We start from the raw sequence: 27,397 nt of genomic DNA, 5'->3' as shown, positions 1-27,397 counted from the left end.
ATGAAGGACAAAAGTAATAAGGGCTCCACTCACTTCCAAATTCTGTGGCCTTTTTCTGGGGAATTTGTACTTTCCATCTGCATGATCTGGGCAATATGAGTTTAGAGTTCCTGGTTCCCAGAGACAAAGTTTCCCTGAGGGCAGTAGCAGAAGCCCCACTAAACTTCAAGCTATGCTATCATATGGCCACTTAGGGCTTCTTATGTGAAAAGACAGGCAAACAAGGAAAGGAATCATCAGTCTGGAAGGAATAATTGACCCTGGTCATCAGGAGAAAGTATTATTATTAGATATAGGGGCTAGAAAGATTGTGTTTGGTACCCACATCTTTATTTGCATATATTTTGGTATCAATTTGGCTGCTTTTGAAAGTAAATGGACAAGTGCAATAGCTATGGCTTGAGAAGGGTGGGTTAACCAGACTTACAAGGGATAAGGTCTTGGTATACACCCAAATAGATGGTAAAACAATAAGTATCAATTTCAGCCTTGAGACCAGCTGCAGTAGGGGCTGTAGTTCTTCTCACTAACCTTCCTCTTACTTTCCAGGAAAAGAGACCAATAAGAATCATGGCAGAACTGCTCACAGAACTCATGATATCAAATAAGTAGATTAGAGCATTATAAAATCTGAACAATAATAGGGGCTGTAGTTCTTCTCACTAATCTTCCTGTTACTTTCCAGGAAAAGAGACCAATAAGAATCATGGCAGAACTGCTCACAGAACTTATGATATCAAATAAGTGGATTACGGCATTATAAAATCTGAACAAATGTTTTATGTGGTGCTCAGACCACTCCTTTGGGACTGAAATATTCATTTCCTCATCTTCTGGGAGTGCTGATGGCTAAAAGTTCCCAGTTGAGTCTCTTTATGTATTGGATGTAGTGATTGATTCTGAATATCAAGAGAAAGTTGGGTTACAACTATATAAAACAGGCAGGAAGGAATGTGTCTGGAGCCCATGAGATTCTCCAAGGAGTGTTTTAGTTCTCTGATGTCATGTGGTAAATTTAATGTAAAACTGTAATAACTAACACAAGTAAGAATGCTAATGGCCCAGAAAGGACTCTTAATGACTTGGACTCTATAAAAATGAAAATCTGGATTTGGGTCACTTAGCTAACTGCTGAGAAAACGTCCTCCTGGAACTCAGAATCGCCCTCAGTAGGCGGAGTACAAGCTCAGAACAAAGAAAGAAGCAGACCACTTCAGATTGTTAAGTAGTCAAAGATTTATTTAGTTGGGAACTTACATATGAGGTGGGATTGGGTGATGTCTAGGTAAATCTGTGTGCTTGCAATGCATACTTGTCTAATCTTTTATACCATGAAAAGAAAAGAGAAAGGGACAAAATTTAAAAAAAAAGTCACTGATGATCATAAGTCATAGGGTTACTTTCTTAATCTATGTACTTTCTACTTAAAGGGATTGTTTGGGTTTCCCACAATCTGGTCAACATTCCTAAGTGGGGAATGGAGGGTAAGGGAAGGGATGTTCTAGGAAGTAGCAGTTATTTGGTCTTCTGATGACTGCATCCTACAACTCACTTTGTGGTCATGTACCCAGAATACATTTTCACAACACGCCGCCCCTCCCGACTGGCCTTATATTCTTACAAGCCCCTTCTTCCATGAGAGTACCTGGCTTCCCTGAGGGGTTTTATAGGGAGGGTGGATGCATTATTCACAAACTTGGTGCCACATTGCATGATGAGTCTACAGTAACAATAGAGACACACACAGGAGAAAACGCAAAGCAAAAGAAGTAAGCATATTAACAAATGTTCCCACCAATTTCCCCAATCTCTAAACTAATGTGACGATAACTGTTCCTATAATGGGTGGGATCATTTATCTTTGATGCCATGTGATACAACAAGAGGAAGCTAGAGATTGAAAGGTAAAACTCCAGCAGGCGCTTGTAAAGGTAGATCGTCTCCTCCAACAATGATTACGATGGAGGATTTGTCCCAAGTGGTCAAAACAGCAGCTGCCTGGGAAGGCTTCCCAGGAGAAGCAAATCATACTTGCCTGCTGGGAGAGGTAGGAGTGTCTCCTACATGATTACTCTTCCTGGACTGTTATATGCCAGATCAGGAGCCTGATTACTTCTCCCTTATGCAAAATGCAAGTGGCCTTGCATTAGTGTCTCCTTACCTCAGGCTCAGAATCTAGCAGTGTGACAGGAGTCCAGGTCAGTAAGGTGAAGTCCTCCTTCCACTGTGAGACAAAGTATCCCATCCAGCCTGACAGGGTATTCCTGTGCTAGTCAGTCTCCACTACAACAGGCTGTCTCCTGGCTGGATGTCCCAAGAGGTATGCATTGCCATAATGCAATTAGTAGAGGCTGACTGAGCCAAGAATATGTCTTTCTTTGTTTGCCATACTATGTTTGCCATTTAGCGATGGCTCATCTATCCTGTCATATGGAGCAATAGGGCCCACTGGGCTTTCATCTATAAGCCTAATAGCTTGTGGCAACATTTTGTCCACCCAGCCAGACATTGAGGTCAGAGTGGTCTGTACAAGAAAAAAAAAAATCTTCAGAGGTTAACATGATATCATCGATGTAACGTGACCATGCAATGCTGGAGGTGGGGAAGGGGAGAAAAACAGAGTCAAGTCATGGGCTACTATTCCATGGCAGATTGCAGAGCTGTGTCTTTCTGGTTTTATTTTGCTTTTTCCACCTCCCAGTGCTACTTGATTTGACTTGATCAGTGAAGCATAGTGTTGAGGACCCTGTTGCATGCCCTGGGAAACCTCCTGGGGCAACGGGTAGGCATTGCCACTGATCCTGCAGACTGGTCTTTGGTGAGTGTGAGGCTCGGAACCCATCCTTAACCTGATATTTGAATAGAAGAGGAAAGGATGCAACAACAGCAGCCAATATGAGCTCATTGGCCTCACAGGGGTTTTAAGCACAAGCCATAGTACCTCTGGTCACCCAGCCTCCCATAGCCCCTACCTAGAGCAAAAAGCCTGGCCTATCTAAGATTCCCTAACACTGATAATCCAGACCTGGCTCCTGTACTCCCACCTCTTTCTTCCAATGTCTTTCTTGGGTTGTTTCTACTTGCTTCACATCTTTCTCTTACTTACTGTATTATTTCTTTAAACGTACACTTTCATTCCCACGTGTTTTTTTTGTGTGTCTCTATCTCTTGGCCTCTGTGTCCCAAGACAAAGCACCCTTATTATTTCTAGTTTTAATTAACATACGTTAATTAGAATTTTATTCTAATCGTGAACTTGCATTCTGTAGATTAACATCATTTTATAACTTCCAGAAATGTATGCTTCCACAAAGTTCAATTTTTCATGTTAATTACCAGACCCAAAAATACAGTACTTAGCGTTTCTACACCATGTAAGATGCCAAAAGTATGTCAAATTAAACTTATGCTCAGCAATTAATGTTTTAGTATTTTATCTTCTTTGGAAACTATCTAGATATTTGATGAATATCCATTATTTAATTTAACTTAGCAAAACTCCAAGGCTGTAAGCTAACAAAGAGATGTGGGGAGCTATTTTTAAGTCGACATATTGTAACGCAAAACAACACTAGCCATCATCAAGTTATTTCCTGTTAACTATTTTTACAGCATGTTTCATGTTAAGCAGTCATTGAGAAAGCAAGAACCTAATGAAGTAAATACATGATTTTGGAGGTTTTGTTTTTGTTTTATTTCTGTTTGATATGTAAAAGTAATGGACACAGCACTTCCACATGCACATTTGTCCCTTGGTTGAACTCATAGTTTTATGATCTTAAACATCTAATAGAGATAAAAGTTGTTTGTTTCTTCTAATATTAATTCCATCTTGAATTAGTATTCAATATTAAATTATCACTTTCAAACAAGTCATTCTACTTTAGGGCAAAAATTACTCTTTTTCCTTTAACAAAACACAAGTTTATATCTCATAGCTTAATTCATCAAATACATGTCTTACTTTCCAATGAGTTCCATATCTTCACTTCTGGTGCTAACCACGTATCTGTTGTTTCTTGCACTGCCCACAACAGGGGCCACCGACTGTGACTGACTTCTTTACTGCCATGATCTGTTTTTATCCCTCAAATAGGGTGACTACCCTTTGGGGCCTTTTTAGAGCATTCTGCACTCATGCAAAGGTCCACAGGCATCAAACATATGGGTCACTGGTCCCAGCATGGAGGCAGCTAGCCAATCTGGATTTCCCCTCACAGAGTCTCTATTCCCCAGGCCTATTTCTTTGGTGGGCTCCTGGCTAGCTCACCAGTTGTTGGGAAAATTCCCTGCTAAACTGAGAACTGCCTTGTGTAAGTGGAGGGCAAGCTCAGAGCAAATAAAGAGGCAGGCCACTCCAGTGGGTAGGTAGTCAAACATTTATTCAGGGGAAACTTACATAAGAGGCAGGCTTGGGTAGCAGCAAGACAACATAGATCTCCACACTTGCAATGCTTGTCTGTCGGTTTCTTATACCATGTATGAAAAGAAAGGGGGGCTGGGCCCGGTGACTCACCTGCAATCCCAGCATTTTGGGAGGCCGAGGGGAGAGGATCAACGGAGGTCAGGAGTTTGAGACCAGCCTGGCCAACATGGTGAAACCCCACCTCTACTAAAAATACAAAAAATTAGTCGGGCATGGTGGCACATGCCTGTAATGCCAGCTCCTCGGGAGGCTGAGGCAGGAATATCATTTGAACACTGGAGGCGGAGGTTGCAGTGAGCAGAGATGGCGCCACTGCACTCCAGCCTGGGCAACAGAGCAATATTCCATCTCAAAAAAAAAAAAAAGAAAAAGAAAAAAAAAGTCACTGATGGCGTATTAATCTATCTGTTTTCTTCTTTATTTACTTTCTACTTAGAGGAATTGTTTGTTTCTCCTATAACCCAGTAAACATTCCCAAATTTGGTTGGAAGTGGGGAGGTTATTCCAGCAAATAGCAATTATCTTGGTCCTCTGGCCAGTGTATCCTACGATTCATTTTGTGGTCATGTACCAAGAGTACATTTTTATAATACTAGCTGAAGAATCATTACCTGCTGTAGTGTTTACTGAGGGCAAAAGCAAAATGCAGCAGAAGACATTATTTTTGGAAGGTCGCAGTTGTAAGATGCATGGTTCTGTCACATGTGGGGATTTTGCAGAGCCTTGTACAAACTCACTTTACCTTCATGATAGTATTTTCAGATCTCTCTGAGCTCTGCTTTGAAGAATTAATTTCACAGCTAAATGTGAAGACTTTTCAGATTTACTGCAAGCATCAATTTCTCCAATATTTCCAGATATTGCAACACAATTCTTCAGTGTATAGGTGTTGACTCTGATTTTAAAGACTCAATATTCAGTAACTTGCCTAAAGTTAATTAATTACAAAATATTAGAGAAGGATTCACGGAAAAATCTGTTTCATGTAAAAACTTTTGCCTTTAATTATATTCTCTATAAAGCGACATGTAAAGCAGATAAATGGGTCATTTCTAAAGTTGAAAGTGTGATGGGTGCACTGGAGTACACCACAGATCTGAATATATCTGAATATCCAACACTACTGTGGTCCCCCCAAAGAGACTGGATATTATTGCACTAGAGTCTTTCATAGGCTAAACATTATGCTTAATGATAAAAACAAAAGATAGCAAAACATGCTCCTTTACTTCAAGGGAGCTTATACTCTAATGGGAAGATAATTAATAAATTAACATATAAGATAGTCATTGCTATAAAGTGCAACTTAACGGTAGCAGATTCATTTGGTGCATGGCAGAAGGGAAACAGAAGTGTACCTTGAGGAGTGAGAGATGACTTTACTGATGAGTCGTGACTGAGACTTAACAAATGTTTATCAAATTATTAGTCAGACAAGAGTTGGGGAGTTCTTCAGTCATGGAGAAAGGTATGTGCAGAAGCCAAATGGCATGAGAAAGCTGGAACGTTTAGAGCAGAGTGGTATTTTGGTAAGGTGAGAGTATCGAGTTCCTAGTAAAGGTAGTCTTCCAGAGTGTCATGAATTTATAATTTATCACATTAGGATAAGGGGCTACTTAAGCAATCAAAGCACAGAAATGGCATAATTTCATGTGGGAATCAGAAACCTAGCTCCGTAGAGATATTAAATTGGTTAGTGGGCAAGAAACAGGACAACCAGTTGAGAAACAATTGTAATAATCCCGGTGAGAAATGGATAACAGATAAACTAAGGATCTAGACTGGGACAGAGGCCATGACAAAAGAAGACATTTTGAAAGAAAAATGATGCTGAGTTTTAGACGTACTGACATGAAGTTGTTTGTGGAACAATCATGTGGAGATATCTAGTAGAAAGTTTGATTAAAAAAAAAAAGAGTATACAGTTCTCAAGAAAATCTGGCTCTAGAGATGAGCTTTAAGTCAACAATATTTAGGCAGAGCTTATTTATTCTTAGGCATAGATAAAATCCCCCAAGAAAGAAGTGAAGGATGAAAGAGGAAAAAACAACTGTGACTACGAAGCAGTTTTAGAAAACACAGATATTTTAATGGTTGTTCAAGGGAGATAACTTTAACCCCTTCTCTAACTAAAGATTTCACTCCTGTAGTATTATCAAGATTATCAATGGCTTTTGAGGATTTCATCTTTTATATATGTTAGTACCAACCATTTTATTAGGGTCAAGTTCACGAAAATAATGGTGCAACAATTTAAATATTTGCTCTGCCCTGTCTTCATAGTATGGATTTATCTTCCCAATCATATCACGGGGTACCCCATCTAAGTAAGGCAACGGGTTACTGAATAACAAGAATTTCCAATCTGTGCATTCCTAAGGCCACTTGTTGAACGTTTAATCCTGCTTATATGTCTGAGCAGGTAATCATAATTAACTGGTAATTAATGTCATCATTTTTAAAATTAGTAAATTTTTAATATTGCTGCCAAAGCCACTCAATTACATAACTCTTCAGTTATAACAAAATAGTTTCACATACACTAGATCAAGAGTTAAACCCTATTTTATTTTATTTCACTTTTCAAACGGTGCTCAGTTTTATTTTTTACCTAAGTTTAACAGAAAAGATATGATGTAAATATGGGGAAGTGAAAGATGAGATGGAGAGTCTTCTTTGAGACTGCATGAACACAAAAAATGGAATGCATTTTATTATAGGGAATAATTAACTGAAGAGGGAAAGTTGAGTAAAGCAGAGGCCTCTTTAATGAAAAGGTAGCAGATATGGGGTAGGATTAGGAAGAAAGCATTTCAAAGAGGGAGAAGTCTCAATTTCACTTTATAATATTGGAATTTTATTCAGTGAGTGTTTATCTGGTACTGTATATATGAATATTGTGATAGACCTTGTAAAATGATGTGAATCTGAATAGAGTTGGTGGCTATTGGAATAATAACTAACAACAACAACAACAAACAAAGGAATAAGTTTACAGGGACAAAGACATTGTTTAAAATGTCCAACATTTAATATATGGAATTAAAATCTGAATTCTGATTAAGTATGGAAATAATTTTGATGTGAAAAATAATTGAATAAGAACAAAGTTTCTTCTAAGATGGTGACATATATGTTTTGAGTGCAGAGCAGAAACTTCAAAGCTCAAGACATGCTAGATAAAAATAATAATAATAATAATAATTAAATGCGTTTGAAAAAAATTTTGGCATGTCATGGAATACTCTCTCATTTTCAAGATGTAAAAGTGATTATATGTCAAAACCTGAGACAAAGACTTTAAATAATTGATAGTGGTCATTCAATATTGATTTTAAAATGTCAAATGATCAATCAAGTTTATTATGTTTAAAATCTGAGAAACTTGAAAGATTATATTTGATTCAAATTAACGAAGCGTATGTGAATGCTCAATGACAACGTGCTTTATCAATAAATCATTTGCTCACATGGCGCTTTTTGTGAAGCAGTGTTGGATCAACACTGTATAGTGCATATATCCCTACACACTACTTGGTTCCACAGGTTTTGTGTTTGCAAAATGAATAATAAGTTGCAACTAGCTAAAATATTTAGAGTATTGTAGAGGGCGTTAAAATATTTCCAAAGGAGAATATTTACATAGGGTTTAAATAGTGATAGTATCATTAAAATCAGAATAGAAACTTTCAGAGTTACAATATTGAAGGCAGTAATACTTACTTGGATATGTTACATCATTTTTTTAAAGCATAATTGATCTAGAAGTAAAATCAATAGCATAACACCAAACCAGCAGCCAACAGTATTGCTGAGTAGCCCTCTTTTGTCAAGCCTGCTTGTTATGCAGACAAGAAACAGCGGAACTTAGCACATAATATATTTGCATATAAATCATATTTTTAAAATTCTTAAAAATAGTTTATCTTAGGTAGATTAAGAATTACTTGCTTTAAAATTCACAACAATTTGCATATCTAGACCTTTAAAAACTGATGATAAAATGTTTAATATGGTCCATCTTGTACACAAGTAATTAAATCCACACCCTCGTTTATTGAGGTCTAACTTAGATGATTTTTATTATATTAAACCAAAGACATATTTTTTAGTGAGGAAAAATATTCCTAATGGCAATTTGCTTCATATGGTTGTATATTACAGAAAAAGATAATTTCAGTTCTACATAAATGATTCTTTTGAACCATTTTCCTTTGAAACAAATGATGCAGTGACATGGCAAAGCAGAACTACAAGGAAAAAATAATGTGAAAAATAAGCACATTATGTTCCCTTTGTTCTTCAATTAAAGGCTATGTTATGATTTTATTCAATACCACACTTTATAGTTAAAATGTAAGGGCAGGTCTGTTAAATTCAGAAACAAGGAAAAAATATCTAGTGTTACCTCCATTTGTAAGTATCATGGTTTGCATCATTTATATTAAAAATATACATTGTAAAAATGAAATGCAATTGACAACTAACCAAATAAAGATATATAATAAATGTTATCTGAGTTGAAATTTAAAGAGTAATAAAATACAATTTAGTCAAATATCAAATATTTTAATAAAAATAATGCTTAAGGTTGGCTAGTAAGCAGATCCTCCTGCACACACTTGGAATATATATTAGTATACCTATTCTAAAACCGTTTGGCAGTTAATGCAAAAGCCTTTCAAAGAACTTCCTCTTTGTGAGCAGGAAATTATATCTCTAAAAACCTACAATAATAAAATAATAAAACCTGAGCTCAGGAATTGTGAATAAGAGATATTAAGATGTTTGCAGAAAAGATGTTAATTAGATGCAAAATTGGAAATCGCAAATGTCTGACTATAAATAAATGAATAAATAGTACATCTAAATAAAGAATTCCATGTGGCTATCTAAAGTTTTATTTTAGAAGCATATTTAACGATATGGAAAATGCTAAAAATACATGTAAAGTGCAAAAAGGAGAAAATAAAATTTCATAAATGGTATAATGCAATTTGGCAAAAATTAAAAGAACAAAGAAATACATATATCACATGTACACATGCAAACAAGCTAAAAGAGTCTGAATGGACAGATGACAGAGATAGACAGATGATGATGATGGGTAAATAGATTGGAAGTAGTTACACAGAAAAGTAACTATTTTCTGGTAGAATTATGGGTAAAGTTTATTTTCTTCTTTTTACTCTGTATAATAAACATGTATTAGTTTTATTACTTAAACAAGAACACGTTGTAAACCTGTAGGACATGCATTTTACTACATAATCTGTCATCTTATCATTGTTTAAAAGAGTAAGAGCACAAATTTAAACCTTACTACGTATTTTATTTGAAGAGAATTCGGCCCATTCTCCATTTTGTCCTCCCGTTCCTGAATGTGCCTTTAAAACATGATCCACACATAAATCAACAGAGTATTGTCTAACCATTAAATAATGACATTGCAATTGCATGCCCTGATTCAAAAATAAAGCGTAAGTTAATAAATTCTTCATAAAAACGACACTATGTTCACAGAAGGGCACTATTGGAGATTGCTGGTTGATTAAACCTCCAGAGAGACACATTTGTTTTCTAGTTCTATACTTATTGATTTCGTAGTAATAACTGCAATGCAGAATTACTGCTTGCACTTACCTCAGCACAAGAAGCCCTGTTGTTTTTTTATCAGGACATTATGTTTCCTACTTTACTTTTCAATTTCCTGGATGTATCAAGAAAAACAAAATGAGTTAAAAAACAACAACAAAAAAATCAGCACCTGAGACTGCAATTTAGATCACCCAAAAGTAAAATAAATGTAAAGAGTTTCCATGAAACTAAAAACAGTGCTAACATATCAGAAATTCAAATTACAGTTTGTGCTGTTGACACGAAACTATTAATTTTAAATGTTTTTATTTCTATATTAGAATAACATCCAATATTTAGATACACTCACTTAATTTCCAAATTACTGATTTTCTATAATGAGGTTTATAAAGGAAAAATGTTTCTATTGAAGTAAATGTGAATAGTAAACTCTTCTTTCTTTTTTTGGTTTGCAAAAATATTTTGCTAATAAACATTCAGAATCACTGTAACAAAATTCTGCTTTCAGAGATATAAAGAATCAATGGTAAAAATTTTATTTTCAAATGACATGATGACAGACATTTTTCTAACACTTTAGTATTATAGAATATAATAGCAAGGTGACAAGTAGTAATAGTGTTGTCCGCCCAGTCTAGATATAGTCACAAAATGATTTGAGGAGACTTTTCACCATTTATTTTGCTTTTTAACATTAGGACAAAGATAAATTCAACATAATTTTAAGTGCCATCAGTACAGTGTTAGGAAATATAGACCACCTATCATTTCTAATGGTGTTTTAGCCTAATTTTATCTTTCACTTACTACATAAATTTGGAAATATTTTGTAGGTAAGTTGAGGTTTTTAAATAACCCCTAAACCAATTTGATTTATACAAATTTAGATTAATAAATTTCTTAGATCCTTACAATTCCAATTGGATTTTATCCTTTGTGCTCATTAGCGTAGGATAGGCTAGGAAAACAACTGGACAAATATATAATAGATCAACACAATGAAATTGTGTAGTACAGGGAATTTCCAAATATACAGGGATCGATCTACTTCACAAATATACAGGGATCGTCTACTTCACAAAATCATGTGAGTATCAAGGCTGAGGGCAACTTCTCTAATGTCAGTGTGCAGTTTGCATGATTTCCCTGGGGATCATACTCTAAGTCAGTCAGAAGGGGAAATGAGCACAAAGGACTGCATTTAGGAGATCAAGGCAAGGGGAGGCCCATTATTTGCTAAAAGGGAGTACAGTCATATGCACATATTTATCTGAAAGGAAAACTGGAAAATGTAGTCCAGGAAAAAGAAGAATCTGTTCCTGAGAGAACTGCAAATAGCCATCAAATAAGTTGGCCCCTTCACCCGAGTGTGCAACTTTTTCCATTGAGAAAACACTTAGTCCTAGCCAAGTGAGACAACCTAGCTACCCTCCAGTTACAGAAGTCAGCTCAAAGTCCATTAGGTTTAAATTTTGTTCTGCTTGTTCTAATGACCTATGAATCGAAAGAGAAGATATGGAATCTCTCCCACCATGCTCAGCATCACAGCAAGAGCAAGATGAAAACTCATATTCATGAAAGGGGAAAAGGAGATATAGAACAGTTCAGTTCCTAGATCTTGGCAGGACAAATCCTGCAAAACAAGCACCATGGAAAGCCACTTCCCAGGGACATGGAGAATGCCCTACTTAGAAACTTCATGATTTGGACAGCCATGTTCCTGCTGGTGAAATTCCTGTGACCTCAGGCTTTTTTTTATGCCACATTCTCTCTCATACACACACATGCTCTCCTATATGTCACATACATACACACACACTTTTGCTGTTGTTCTATTATTCTTGCTCTTTTTAAAATTTTTATTTTTTTCATTTGTATAAATCTAAGAGGTGCAAGTGCAGTTTTGTTAGGTGGATATATTTCCTAGTGGTGAAGTTTGGGCTTTTAGTATAACCATCATGGAAATAATTGACATTGTACACATTAAATAACTTTCTACTCTTTCAAGTTTCCAGTATCTATTATTACACACCCTATGTCCATATTCTTGCTCTTTACTGGGGATGGGAGGCTTTTTTAACTTTTAATTTAACAACAGACTTACAGAAATTTGTAAAATAATACTAAATTTTTCATATCCACATCACTCAAATTTCTGAATTGTTAATAACTTTATGGGCTGAAGCATACAACTCCATTAAAAATGTACATATTTCAGATAAATTCCATATTCAAGTTACTTCTATGCTCTAATAAATGCTGCCAAATATTTTTCCTAGATATCATTTTTGACTCTATCAAGTTGGCTTTCTTCGCTCTTCCTCTCCCTCCACATATGTTTGTCCTCTCTTTCTCTTTTCCCTTTAAGAACGTATAAAACAATAGGACTGGATGAGAAGACAAGACATCTTAAGCTGATTTTTGCACAAACCGAAGCCCTTTGATTATACTATCTTAATATGCCTTTGGTTCTCAGAGCATTTTCCAGTCTTATCTCCCCTTATTCAGGGCTCAGAGTAGTTCGGTTTTCCAGCCCTATGATGCTTTAATCTCTGGATTTCTCTTTTCCCTTCAATCTTTGTTTAAAACCTGTTAAATCTTGCCTAAGCTCAGCTCTTTCTTATAATTCATGGCTCAGTGCAGCAAATAATAGTCACATATTTCTTAATATTTTTACTTTTTTCAACTTTTCCCTTAGCTAAATGTTCAGGGGCCACTTGGTCTGCTTTCCAAGTAACTACGGATGACTTTCCAAAATGCTTTGCCTCCAAACATTCCAAACATAGCCCAAATGTACATCTTTGCAACTTGCTGTGTATATTACATAGTCTCCAATTTGTTGTTGTTGCTGTTAGAGCAAAAATTGCTTATGTTATAGCACATGTTTTTTTTTAAGTCAGCACTCCATTTCAATATTATGTTTCTTCTACTAGTTTTGGTGAGCTGGGCTACGGACGATAGAACTAAACATATAATACTTCAAGACAATAGCATTCTCATGTAACTGTCTGTGAAATTTCAGGTCAATGATCAAGCTTGAGGCACTCTGGGGGTTTCTATTTAAGACGGAAGGAAGGAAAAGCAGTGTGAAGGAGTGCTAATGAGTGATTTTTATATTATAGACCCAGAAATGTGCATACTACCCTCTCTGTCATTCCACTGGTGAATGCTTGGTCACATGGTTACAGCAATCTTCAGAGGAATTTGAGAATATAGGCTTAGCTATGTGCCCAGGTAAAAGGGGCAGGTGGGCAAGTGTCTACTTTGCTTTTGAATTTCTCAAAAGTGGTTGCATAATTCATAAAAAACTAAGTATGTTATGAAAATACAAAAGTAGGTGAAGAAAAAGAATAGTAAAAGTAAAATAAATTCTAAGTACAGAGCAACAGTAGCCTCTAATTTTACAGTCATTTCGTAATTTGCATTTTATACATTGAGAGAAAAGACTTCTTTGTTCAGTTATTTGAATGAATACATATTACCCAAATCACTTCACATATATGTGTTGTGATGATCATGAAGATAATGATGATGATAATGATGATGATGATTATACTGAAAAAGACTTTTAAATTAGGATCAAAGTTTTTATATTTTGCTTGAAAGAGTAATGTTTATTTTGGCAAAAAAAAAAAAAAAGAAAAAAAGAAAAAAAAACCTAGTAGAAAATGGAGTAAACTTTTGAGTTTCAATAAAACTTGAAATTATGATACTCTGTGCCTTAGCTATAATTATGTCAGTCAAAAGTAAATATTACTTTCCTTTTTAAGAAAACTAATATATTTTAACAGTAGGAGGGATTTTCTGTTTCTATATAATCCATTTCTATTAAGGTTGTTATGTTTGCTTTTCTGATATAATTCAGGGTTTTGCTGTGGCAAGAGAAGAGAACATTAGACTGCAAAGTATATGCCCAATAATGTATTTTTAAAACCAAATCTTAGAGTATATGACATTACCTGTTTCTAGCTGAAGCATTTGTAAGAAAATGATTTTATTATATACTGAATTTAAGAAAGAAAAATAAACTATTTTGATGTGGCAACGATGTTCAATGTGTAAACAAAAATTGGAGATAATAATTACATTTATTAAGTACTGATTATGTATCAGAACTTAATCCTTGTAAAACAAAATATGGTAGATTCTATCATTATGCCTATTTTACAGATACGAAAATTGAGATGGCTGAGCGCAGTGGCTCACGCCTGTAATCCCAGCACTTTGCGGGGCCAAGGCGGGCTGATCACAAGGTCAGGAGATCAACTCCATTCTGGTCAACATGGTGAAACCCCGTCTCTACTAAAATACAAAAAATTAGCTGGGCGTTGTTGTGCGTGCCTGTAGTCCCAGCTACTCGGGAGGCTGAGGCTGGGTAATCGCTTGAACCTGGGAGGTGGAGATTGCAGTGATCCGAGATCACACCACTGCACTCCAGCCTAGCGACAAAGCAAGACTCTGTCTCAAAAAATCAATTAAAAAAAAAAAAAAGAAAGAAAATTGAGGCTTAAATATCATCTCATTACTCAAGATCCAAAAATGGAAAAATAAAATAATAACGATGTCCATAGAGATAGATTCTGAACACCTATCTATGTGATCCTAAAATTTAGTAAGATTTGTCAGTAAAATATATTTCCCAAATGTTTTTTATAGCATTTAATCTGTACTAATATGCTTCTAGAAGCTTTACATTTATTAACTCATTTAGTACACAACTGAATGAGGCAGGTACTCCTTTCGTTATGATAGAGAAAAGTGAAGCATATCACAGTTAAGTAAATTGTTCATGTTCACAAAACTAGTAAAGGGGAGAGAGTTAAGATTCATGCTCAGGCTCTTTGACTCCAGCATTGGTGTATTTACATACTTATAAAGGCTGCGTCTCCTCATGCTCAATTCCTACCAATAATAAAGTTTATTAGAGGAATGATGGCATGAGAATGGGCAAAATGTTGACTTTCAAGCCATGTTTGTTAAACTGATTGTATTCTATTTCCTTTTATATATTTTTTAAAAACCCTTGGTTATGAATTAAACACATATCATTGTCCATCTAAAAAATAACTGTATTTATTGATCTGCAAACTTCATATATATTCACACCCTAAAGTCTATTTTACCAGAAATAATTGAAATTAATCAGTTGGATGTAAAATCCCCTCTCTAAAAACATCATTTTATTTTGCAGTTTAAACCAAGCAAAACAGTGTAATTTTTTTCCCCTAAAAGAAAGTAGAGTATCCCATTTACTTTTTCATTGATTTATATCCGAAATATTCAGAAGAGTAGTCATGAATAAACATTATATTCTCATTCCAGTTAGGGAAACTGAGTCATTGATGGATTAATTAAACAGATGACACCATTAGTTTAAAATAATTATTTTAGGGCCAGGGATATACCATAAAAATATAAAACTATTTTGTTCTTTAGGTAAAGAAAAAAAATAAATTAATTCATTATTATTGCTCCCCTAAGATGTCAGTTACAAAAATGGGAACGGGATGGGTGATTGTAAGTGTCTTACTCCGGTATTCTACTACACACAACTTTTTAAAACGGCTTTAGAGTCTCTCACTAACGAGTACCACCTTAATCCTAAAGTAAGATGTCCCCTAATGGGTGTATTAAGCAACAGGAGCTGACTCCTGTTGCTCGGCTGGTTCATACTCAAAGCCTCATCTTCAGTGTCGGGGAGAAAAGGCTACTAAGACATACAAAAATTTTGTTTACTAAGCCTAACCCACAAGCTTTCCTAGGTTATGTTCTACTATTTTTACATTTCTGTCATCTTTACTTGGTTCCATATCCAAGTAATATTTGCTTTTGTTTTTTTTTTAAAAGGAAAACTTTACCTGAAGAAAAAAAAAACACATTTTAATATGCACTCTTTTGTTCACAGAATATTTCCCTTAGGAAAAATTCTTCCTCTTAAAATACAACGTGAAGAGCAGGATGACAAATGGTTAATGATAATTTATTTCTGAACTACTTATCTAATCTAATGACAATGCCAAAGACTTACTTCAGAAATTTCAACACATTCTTTTGATTCATTTTTTACTCTATCATTAATAATTACCAGTGGTTTCTGAATGAAGAATGGTGTATATCTTTCTGTTGACATATTTTCTCAACTTGTACTCCCAGATATAACATCTTTCAGTTCATTCCAGGCTTTCCACAGTCACTTCTCTCAAGGTCAAGAAAAAGATACAATAATGAGAAAATAGAACAAACAGCAGCTAATGGCAGGAGCAGTTCATAAAAAGCTGTAATGGCAATTCCACCCAGACAGCAAAGGAATGCAACATTTTCACTGAGCACTACCTGACAGATTCAATAATCAAGGGAAAGCCTTAATTGATGACACTTCATTAGCATAATGAGTCGAAGCTGGGAAAAGAGAGTCCCTTATTAATTAATCAAGCAAAGCACGAACTGTTTCAGTCTCCTACACTCTGCCATTTTCCATTAATCAAGAAAATGTGTATTAAACTCATGTGAAATCTCAGCATGTGGATTATCGTTCCAAGGAAGAGCAATGGCAAAGAGGTTTGCCCAGCTGCACACATCTGCTCTGGACTCACACATGCCTCTGATTCAGGTTTGCAAGGCTAAAACCATGCACAGAGGGCACAGAGATAGCAGTTCTCCAAAACATGTAAATCACCATCTCATTAGGAAAGCAAATAAAACCCCATCAACTTCAGTACAAAAAAAAGAAAGAGACAAAAGAAAATAGCTTCATTTGCTTTTCCTTTGCCTGTTGTCCAAACCTCTATTGCATGAAATATCATAAAATGTAGACTGCACAAAATATTTATAATATCCTGTCCAACATTCACACTTGATTCCAGATTCACTGGTTCCACGTATTCCATTGGGTCATGAGAGAAATGGTTTTTGGTGGTGGTCCCTGGTACAAAGAAGTCATGCACCTTAGGTCCCCAACTAACCACAGGCACAGGTGTTGAGAATCAATGCTAATGAGGTTAACAAGCCAGGATCAAAACTGTGCAATCCCTACAGCAGAATGGACTTGAAGAGAGACTAAAACCAGAACTCCATAATTGTAAGGTCACTTCCCTATGATGTTTCTTATAATCATCAGGTGAAAGGTGGCTGCCAACACATTAATAAGGTAAAGAGAACTTGAATAGAATTTTGGAAAGGGATCACTGCAAAGGAAATTTTTATACTTTTATTTTAGATATAGTTTGACACCCACTACTATGCTATGTAGCTTACTATCTCCCCTTGATGAATTGGAAATTTAGTTTTCTCCTATACTGTAAGGAGTTTGGACTAGAGGAACTCTTAAGTGAATTCTAGCTCTTAAATGTCATTAGGGGAAAAGTCATAAATTCAAAGCAGGTAAGAGTATGATTTATTCAGTTAACTGACTACAAAAACTTTATGCGATTTAAGAATGTTGGTTTAATCAAACTCCTCACTTGCTTTGAATCCACCTGTACCAGTGACCCCATGGGCTGTGGTGCCAATTGTGCACTCAGTGATAGTTTAACCAAACTCCATCTTTCCATCTCATGTGAGTGCCATTGCTTTCTAAAATACTGTGTCCACTACGCATGATCTAGGCACAGAGGGGCATCCTTTGCAAAGACTAACTGTGACCAGTGTTCTGCATGTCCAGGCATGACAGGTATGGGAACCCAGCCATGTAAAACCAAGGTCAGTTGCTCTATCTAGCCTATATAATTCATATTTATCTATACCTGTTTCATTTCAAGATGGATTTGAAATATTATTCAATCTTAGTGGTTCCAGCATAAGTGGAAGAAAGAAAACCTCTGATCAAACGGACACATTTTTATCCATTGCCTATTTATCAGCATTATTTTAAAGTGCTTGATGATCAAAAGACAAATTTATTTGACAGAAAAGTGACTCATCTAAAAATTCAAGTTGGTGCATTAAGCCCAGTAACAAAATAAATTCACATCTGAAGCACTTCTGGCATTCTATAACTTCAGTGTAGTGATATACAGATCACCAGTAAAGAGCCATTACTGCGCCAGGTGTTCTTTCATGTCAGCCAAATTGGTCCCAAGTGCTGAATGTTAACTGTTTGAGCTCTGAGTGGGGACGGGCATTACCTCCTTGCAGGGCAATAACCTGTATCAACTTGAAAGAGCTCAGCTTTGTAGTAAGGGTGATTTTATAGTAATAAATTATATTTTGCAACTTGAAGTTAGCTGAAGCCATCACCCATAACATGAGATGATAACCAGGGATTGTATGTACTCAGTAGCTATATTTTCTTATAAATATTTTATTGATTTTTCAAGTCCACAAAGATTCCCTGTTGTCATAAAGTTCTCTTAATGTATACACTAGACTTTGTTCTATGCATACAAAATGAAATCCTCTCTCAGACAGTTTGGAAAAGGGAAAATATGCCTCTACAGGATCTAACTATTTTTGAGTTTCCTGTATTGACATTCCAGGAAGATTTCCTGATTTTTTCACTAGGTGCTGAATTTTCTTATAACGTGCTATTATTTCTGCGTATGGGTATCAATGGTCAGTAAATAAACTCCAAAACTGATTTTAAAATGAGAAAATACACTGTATTTCAAAGTCAAAAGTTAGCAAAAACACAAGAAAAGGAAAAAGAGTCAGAAGAGTGATTCTTTTTCTTAGATACCAAAACACACCATATCAGAAATACATGCTTATTCCAATAAACATCAGACAGTTGCATTTTTGTCAAGAATGGCTCTCCCCTGCTGTTGTGAAAATAATAAATTCCTATAAAAATTTAAGAATTGATCAAATGGGACCTAATTAAGCTAAAGAGTTTTCACACAGCAAAAGAAACTATAAACAGAGTAAGCAGACTGGGAGACATATTTGCAAACTACGCATCTGACAGAGGTCTAATATTCCAGCATCTGTAAAGAATTTAAACAAATTTACAAGAAAAACAAACAAACAATCCCATTAAAAAGTGGGCAAAGGACATGAACAGACACTTTTCAAAAGAAGACATACACGTGGCCAAGAAGCATATGAAAAATTGCTCAACATCACTAATCATTACAGAAATTCAAATCAGAACCACAACAAAAGATACTATGTCATGCCAGTCAGAATGGCTATCATTAAAAAGTAAAAAAATAACAGATGCTGGGGAGGCTGCAAAAAAGAAGAAAAAAAAGAAACTTTTATACACTGCTGGTGGGAATATAAATTAGTTCAGCCGCTGTGGAAAGCAGTATGGTGATTATTCAAAGAACTTAAAATACAACTACCATTCAACCCAGCAATCTCATTATTGTGATATATACCCAAAGGAATATAGATTGTTCTATCATAAAGACACATGCACACCTATGTTCCTCACAGCACTATTCACAATAGCAAAAACATGGAATCAACTGGATGCCCATCAACAGAAGACTGGATAAAGAAAATGTGGTTCATATACAGTATGGAATGTTATGCAGCCATGAAAAAGCAAACAAACAAAAACGAAATCATGTATTTTGCAACAACATGGGTGGAGCTGGAGGCCAATATCCTAAGCTAATTAACGCAGGAACAGAAAACTAAATACCAAATGTTCTCCCTTGCAAGTGGGAACTAAACACTGAGTACACATGGATACAAAGAAGAGAACAATAGACACTGGGGCCTACTTGAGGGTGGAGGGTGGGAGGAGGTCGAGGACTGAAAAACTCCCTCTCAGGTACTGTGCTTATTACCTGGGTGATGAAACAATCTGTATACCAAATCCCTGCAACACCCAATTTACCTATATAACAACACTCTACATGGACCCCTGAACCTAAAAGTTAAAAAAAATCAATGAATACAAAGCTGATATTTTTTTAAAAAGTAACAATTGAGATCAATTGAAAAGATGAAACCGCTCTCTTGATAAACTGATAGTGTAAAGTAAGACTGAAGAATTGCTTGATATAAAACAGGGCAAAATAACAGAGCTATTTCTTTTTTAAAAATTCTGTAGATCATTAATTTAATAGATTAAAATATTTTCAAACTCTAAGGTGAATACACTTTTTTTTAAAACATGGGCCAAATTTCTGAGACGTGCTAAGTTTAAGGGCTTTCCCAGCAACTTACCCTTAAAATTATTTTATTTCTGAAAAAGCCAGTTATATTCATCAAGTATGGGCTCAGTTCTTGTTTTGAGAACAAGCATTACTTTTGCAGTCCATTTAGGATGCAATTTTGTCTGCCATGGAGCAATGTGATAAACAAATAAATAAACAAATAAAATCTACTCATGAGACATGCAATAATTAAGGTACATCTGGAGATAAGTGAAATTTAAAATGTACAAGTTTCCAGGGTCTTATTATTAGAGAAAGGCAACTTTGGAATAACCTTACAATACAGGAGAAGTAACAATATATTTAACTTCATATTTGCTATTGCCAATAAACATTGAAAAACATTAGGAAATGTTGCAAAGGTGAATAATAAACTGCTTTAAGTAGTAAATGCAACAGAGAAATATATAGATGTGTACAGCAGTATGTTATCCTCTGGGTTCAACCCATCATTAAACAAAGAATAATGTACTGAATAGTGATAGGAGAAAACAAAAAACAGCCTTATTCACAATTTCAAAACCTTTCATTTACTCAATCATACAGCACTTTCTGTAGTCAATAGGTAAAACGCAAGGTTTACCATTACCAGCTATCATATTTTAATATTTTCTGAAGATCCTGTGAACACATTCTAGTAAACAAGACAATTGTGGAAGTAAAAATTCCACGTTGGTAGAGACAGAGTAATGCCCAAGTGACAAAATGAACAAGTGATGTTGGCAAAAATTAAATCTCTATCTTCTAATTGCTAGATCACTGCTTCATGCTAACTCCTCATGTTGTTTTGCTTAGATCAACAAGTGTGCCCGACGATCCTTGAGCAGAAAACTGTAAGAACTGTTTATGCTATTTTAACATGATACTGAGAAGATGAAAGTGAATAGTAGTTATATTTTTGACACTTTTTTATGTTGATTTAGGCATGTAAGACATTCTTTGAGTAACAATCAGTACTAAGTACCACTGCCTCTTAGTAATTACGAAAGAAATAGAAAAATCAAATTTTACCTATTTTAATAACTACCTTTATAAATAATAAAGGTATGAAGGTATTTATTAGAATACCTTTATAATAAAGGTATAATTAATATAATAAAGGTATTAATAATAAAATAATAAAGGTATTTATTAAAATACCTTTATTCTTTGAACATATTATTATAGCAGAATCCTATAAGGTTGTAACCAAATATGTGTATTGTATCACTGGAAAATTCAAACCATCTCTTCTTTGGATTGTAGCATAATTTGAGGCTATTGTTTATAATTCATTGTACTTAAGAAAACTCCCAACAGATTCATGTTTTAGAGAGCATTTATTACAGAAAGTTTTTATGTCAAACTGACAGCCAAACACTTAACAATAAATCTAGTTTTACGAAGATGTAGATGTTTGCATTGCTATTGTAAATTCTTCAAAGAAGAGCAATTAAAATTAATTTTAAAATCCTGGGATAATTTAGAAGATTAATACTTCTAAAACTTATAGATGTATAAATGTTCCTAAACATACAGTCAGAGGAGTAATGAAAAGCTTAGAGGAAACAGTGAAGAGGTGATACAAGACCTAGAAAACTTCATTATCCATGATGAAACCATCTCTACTCCAAGCAAGCCTAGAGGCTAATGCTATTTCTTCAGTAATGTTATAATTTCAAGTCATATCACTGTTCTTTATGATTTTTATAAAGACAGTTATTCAGAGTTTTATATTTTGGTTGCAGATTGAGAACAGCGTATGTGAGTATTATAATGCAAAGAAATTAAGAAAATGTATTCATCACATTTTAGAATCTTTATTAAAGTGTGTAATTAGCTCTAATTATTTTAGAAAATCTATCTAAAACATTTTATTTTAGCAACTTTTAAAACGTGAGTTTAGAGTTCAGAAGAAAATTCAGTAGATTTCAACGATAACACTGAATTTCTTAAATAAAAATTGTACACTGGTAAGTAAATTCTGTAAAAACAAAAACCCTAGGAAAATGGAAAACAGATCTAATATTGTGGTAAAATAACTCAGTGGGGTGGAGAGAATATCATCTAACCATATATTTGGTAGAATTCATAATAACTGGAATATGTGATGTTTAATCACAACCATATGTGTTCATTTTTTATTTTTTTAAATTTCTCTCTCCAAGGAATTTACAGTCATTATGTTTACAAAGTACCAGAAGATAGAATCACTACCATCATAAGAGGAAAAAACACTGAGATTTCATTATCAAGGGGTATATATAAACCATCCTTATACACAGAGCACAATTTTAACTAGGATATGAAGAAGACTCTACTGAAGTTAAGAATGATAAAATGAGTCTTCCAGAAATAACATAATGGGAAAATCCATGAATACATAAGAAAGCTCCTAAATGCATTGTAAACTATGGTTGTTTCTCCACACCCCACTTAGAAAAGGGAGGAAGGAATTTGTGTGTGTGTGTGTGTGTGAATCCATCAACGATCATAAGATTAATGTTTCCTCAGGTCCAGTCAATGACATCTCTCTACTTGCTCCAAAAATGTGCTATAATCTTCACTGTATCCTCCTTTATTGTCCAAATAAGATCAATTAATAACTCCTATTGATATTGCCCCATCCCATCATTCATCTATATACACCTTGTGATCCTACGGATATCTTAGTTCAGGCTGTCCTTACCTCCCTAGAGAAATAAGAAAGAGATGGGTAATCTCATAGGTCATGTTTGAGAGGTTGAATTCAGGGCATACCTTACTGGTTTAATTGGAATAGGGACACTTCCTTCAAAGTAAAAGAGGGAAAATTAATGTAGGTAGTTACAGATGCAGGTGAGTTGACAGTTTTGGTAATGGGAAGGTAAAAGAATATATCTGATTAAATCTGATTTCTCAATTAAACACAAAGCTTGGTCATCAGTAAAAGGCAAAGTAAAGAGAGAGACAGGAATAGAAGAGGGAGAAAGAAATAATATCAGTGGTTGACTTGAGACCTGCTGAATGCTTTATGCAAAGCAAAAAGCTATAAATCCTAAAAGATAGGTGAAACAGGACTTTTTCTTAAACCATTAGGTAGCACATGTTTTAGATGTCCACTTTGACCCCTAGGTGTCCTTTTAGAAGATGTAGAGTCAATGGACAGAAAGAATAACTGCAGATGAAAATACTGTTAAGGGCTCATGGTGATAACATATATATTGTTCTTCTATAGTCTTTCTAATAAAGACGATGAGAGTTATCACATGGAAACTGTACAGCAAACTACTTCTCATACATTTGTATTCATAAATTGTATGAATAAATTCTATTCAAAAATCACCTCAGGAACTTTAATTTTAGTTTTAAAATGGAGCATGTGCAACCTAATGCCATCTTTGTCTTGAATGACCTCGCCTTGACTAGGCCAGATGTGGATAGTCTTATCCTTCACTGTGTTCTTGACAATGCCGCTCTGCAGTTTTCTCATTGGAGAAAGCATAAAACTCCACTCTTGGTCGTAGATGTGGATTGTTTTTCTTACTTTGAATCCTAGGTACACAAGCCGGCTTAGCTGAATTTATCATGAATATAGAAATGACAACTGTTAGAATGGAATGCAAGGGGAAAAGTGCAACTACTATATTAATAGAAGGAGAGAAGAATGACATCAGCAAGAGGCGTGGAGTAATCTCTTAATAGAGTGAAGGAATAGTTTTTGTATTAACAATATAGAGGCAGAAGCAAATGAGATGCTGCAGAAGTTTACTTTTTTAGAAAAATGCAGCACACACTGGAGTCTAGTTCTCATGAACTTGGATTGAAGGTCAAGACCAGTCTATGAGGAAGTATAATTTGATGCCACAACAACTAATGTTGACATACAATACGTTAATCCTGTCCATTGCTGCAGTGTTTTAGTATCTGAGACAGAGACTAAATCAGTGGTCTCAACTGCAGGTGACCTTGCCCCTAGAAACAACTACCAACGTCTACAGACATTTTTGTTGTCATAACTAGGCAGGAGTGCTACTGGCATTCCCAGTGTACAGGACCGCCCCTCACAAAAAATAATTATCTGGCCTAAAATGTCAATATCACCAAGGTTAAAAACCTCTGTTCAAAACAATGGCCAAGCAGCCACAGTTGTAAGAAGATTAAAGAGTGGGTGAAAGATTTACCATTTACATGTACTCAAGGTTATTCCTATTTGATTTATGTTGCATTTTGCATGTCTTCACATAAATCACTGAGAACAATTCTATATTCCTGTGGCTAGCTGGCCATTATTTAGAAGGTTTTCTCTTTCCTCTTATCTAAAGACTGAACACTTTTTGGTCATATTGTTTGAACTTTCCCTGGAATTTTAAATCTGCTCTCTCCCTACAAAATTTTCCCCACTTTGTAGCCTGCTTTCTGCTTCCAACACAGTTTCACATTCGACTCTTCATCTGATTTCCTACTTTGTCCCAATTATTGCACATTCAGACACTAATAAGTAATTTTGAAGTAGACACACCCTTACACTGTGGTTTTGCCATATTGCAAGATATGGTATGACAACTGCAAACATACCTCATTATACAGATGAGACATTTCATCAAGTATTATTGGAATAAGGTAACAATGCTTAATGAATAACTAATATAAACAAATACACACAGGCCCATTTTTTTTTCAGTCATGTTTTAGTGTATGAGATCATTTGTCAAATACAGTTTTCAACCATCAGGGAACAAAAATACCTTGCCACAGTTGCCCACCAGTCCTGGAGAACAGCCAAAAGCTGCAGTTCTACAACTCTTTCCCTGGAAACACAAAGGACAATGTGTTTATTTAATTATGCTGTGCTAGATACAATATTCAGCTGTTCCCAACACATCTGTAGAATGATTATATAGTCAGTTATAGTAATAGAAACACATTCATACAGGAGATGTTGTTCTTTACTCTTGAATCATATATCTCTTTATCCATATACTTGCTTTAGATTGAGCACATGTGACAGCTTCTGCAACATCTCTGAGCAGAAATAAGGAGAGAGCTTGGAACATTTTATTCCTCTTAGTATATAAAAAATTGGAAATGCAAAGCACTGAAAATTTAAGGATTTAGAACTCCTGATAACTATAAAATCTTATTCAACCACACTATTTCAATTCTAGAGGGAAATAATAATGTAATAATAAATTAGTCTGCAGCATGTGGAGTAGCTTTAGAAAATAAGTTTGTTTATTCTTTTTCTGCAATATGCCATTGAAAGTACTTCTTCTTGATGCACTGTCCTCATTTTTTATTGCACAATGTTAGATTATTTATTGCTCTTTCAAAATGAACCAGCACTCATCATATATTTTCTGCATATTTTACTATGAATGATAAAATTTGTTTATGTGAGTAGAGTAAAAAAAGCCCACATTTTTCATGATGAACTAGTTTTCTGGTAGAGGCATGGTTCTCGTTCCCTTAAAAAATTACTAAATTTGATTGCTTATTTAAATTATGTCTCTGCTTAGCCCTAAATTTATATTATTATCTTTCAACGTTAGGCACTGCATCATTTAGTACCTGTGCATGTAAGAAATACTGTAGGAGAAAACTTCCTATCTATCTGTGGATAAGTTTCTCCAGTTCCCACATATCAAAGTAACAAGTACAATCTTTTAAAAAGGGTGAGGATGCATGGGAAGTGTCTCTATCTAGCTACATTTTTAAGCTATCAGTTGTGTGCAAATAAAAAAAATTTATTTGTTCTCAGAGTCCCTACTGGCATTTTAAAATGACTTCTGCAGGATATTGTTGTTTCATTGAACTAAATTCTTTTCTTTCTTTCTTTCTTTCTTTCATGTACTTTTGCACATCTTTAAAGTAAATAACTAGTGATGGTAAGGGAGTAGTATAATGAGATGATCTGACTTCTACTGTTTGGAAATAAAAATAAGGTAAAATATGCATACAAGAATTATTAGATAGTTTTAGATGTCATATCACCAGTGCCGTGGTTGTAAATAAAATGCATTTTCATGAAAAAAGACTCAACTAAGTGCTTTCAAATACAGAAGTCAATATCACTTTAGAAAGTCTCAGATAGCAACTATGTAGATGTTCTGTTTTCTATGGCAGCAAAAACAAGGCAAGAGGTACTGAAGAGGCATTGGTAGCTGATTTTAAAAGTGTTCTTTCTAAAGAAGACAAATAATACATTTTACTCCAAAAACAACCTACACATATTCTTTCTTCTGCTTAAGAAAAGACAATTTACAAATTTAGTGCGGAATGACATCTTAAATCACATAAGCAATCTATGAAAGCAAACTTTGTTAACTTTAAGTGATGTCTCAGCAATTCTGAAATAAGGCTACCAAGCTATCCTTGAATCCCTTACATAAAGACAGGCAAGTTATGTGTCTACTACTTTGAGTAACAAATCTATATGCCATAGAAACAAATATACCTAAAAGCTGTAGATTAATGCACAAAATTATGTAGAGAATAGGGAAAGTTAAGGCAAGCAAATGACTACAAATTCAGTTTTTCCTCCTATAGAAGGAAGAAGTCATGTCTTGGGTTCAACGTGATTCAGCCCAATCTCTCATATCCAAATCATGAGTCCTATCAGTCAGTGAATAATCAAGAAAATGCTTCACTGTAGAGTCTTATCCTGTACAGACTTAAACAGAAAAAAAACTGACAAAATTTCAAAGCATGTCTCTACAAGACTTTAAACAAAAGCACTGTGTATATTATTTGGAGGAGGAATAAGGAAACAGGGATTCCAATAGTTAAAATTATTTTCCTTAAATATTCTGGTTAGCCATGATTTATTGCACATGGCATGTCTCAAGGCACAAATATTCCTTAAAACTAATGAAACAGTAGTTAGAATGCATGAGATTTGAGTCTTCCACTATGTGTCTTAGACTTTGACAAGTGGTAGTTTGTCTTTGAAAAATGATATGAAAAGAAATAAACATTACTGGTAATTCTTAGTTAAACTATTTTTCATGAAGAGATATATGTATTTTTAATCAAATTCAATTCCATAAATGTTTTAAGCATATACATATTCTGGCCATGGCTTCTTTCACAGTAGACAATGCCTCTTAAGAAGTGCATGGTCTAGAGAGGGAGGAGAAATAGGTCTTCTAAGAAGACAGGAACAAGAAAATGGCATCTAACTGTGCCTGGGAGGATCAAACAAAGCTTCCTGGAGTAACGGAAAGGAGAAAGAAGAGATCTTGGTGTGAGAAAAAAACATAAAACTGCAAAGAATTCAGCAGGCTGAGGTGAATTTACATTCTATTTT

At 34.8% G+C, this 27,397-nt stretch overlaps 1 long non-coding RNA gene across 2 annotated transcripts in view; it reads right to left on the bottom strand.

Moving 5' to 3' along the window:
* Nucleotides 1-24,901, bottom strand: part of LOC105370420 (uncharacterized) — a 129,914-nt gene extending 105,013 nt beyond the window's left edge. Inside the window, exons 1-2 of one of the 2 annotated variants that reach the window (XR_943662.3) lie at nucleotides 24,837-24,901; nucleotides 10,070-10,136 (exon numbers count right to left, since the gene is read on the bottom strand). This is a non-coding gene — a long non-coding RNA (uncharacterized LOC105370420). The remainder of the gene's footprint in view (nucleotides 1-10,069; nucleotides 10,137-24,836) is intronic. The other variant, XR_001750686.2, reaches the window with a different exon arrangement.
* Between the last annotated feature and the right edge of the window lie 2,496 nt (nucleotides 24,902-27,397).

The sequence above is a fragment of the Homo sapiens genome, chromosome 14, assembly GCF_000001405.40.
Source record: "Homo sapiens chromosome 14, GRCh38.p14 Primary Assembly".
NCBI lineage: Eukaryota > Metazoa > Chordata > Mammalia > Primates > Hominidae > Homo > Homo sapiens.
This window is presented reverse-complemented; position numbering and strand designations above follow the sequence as displayed.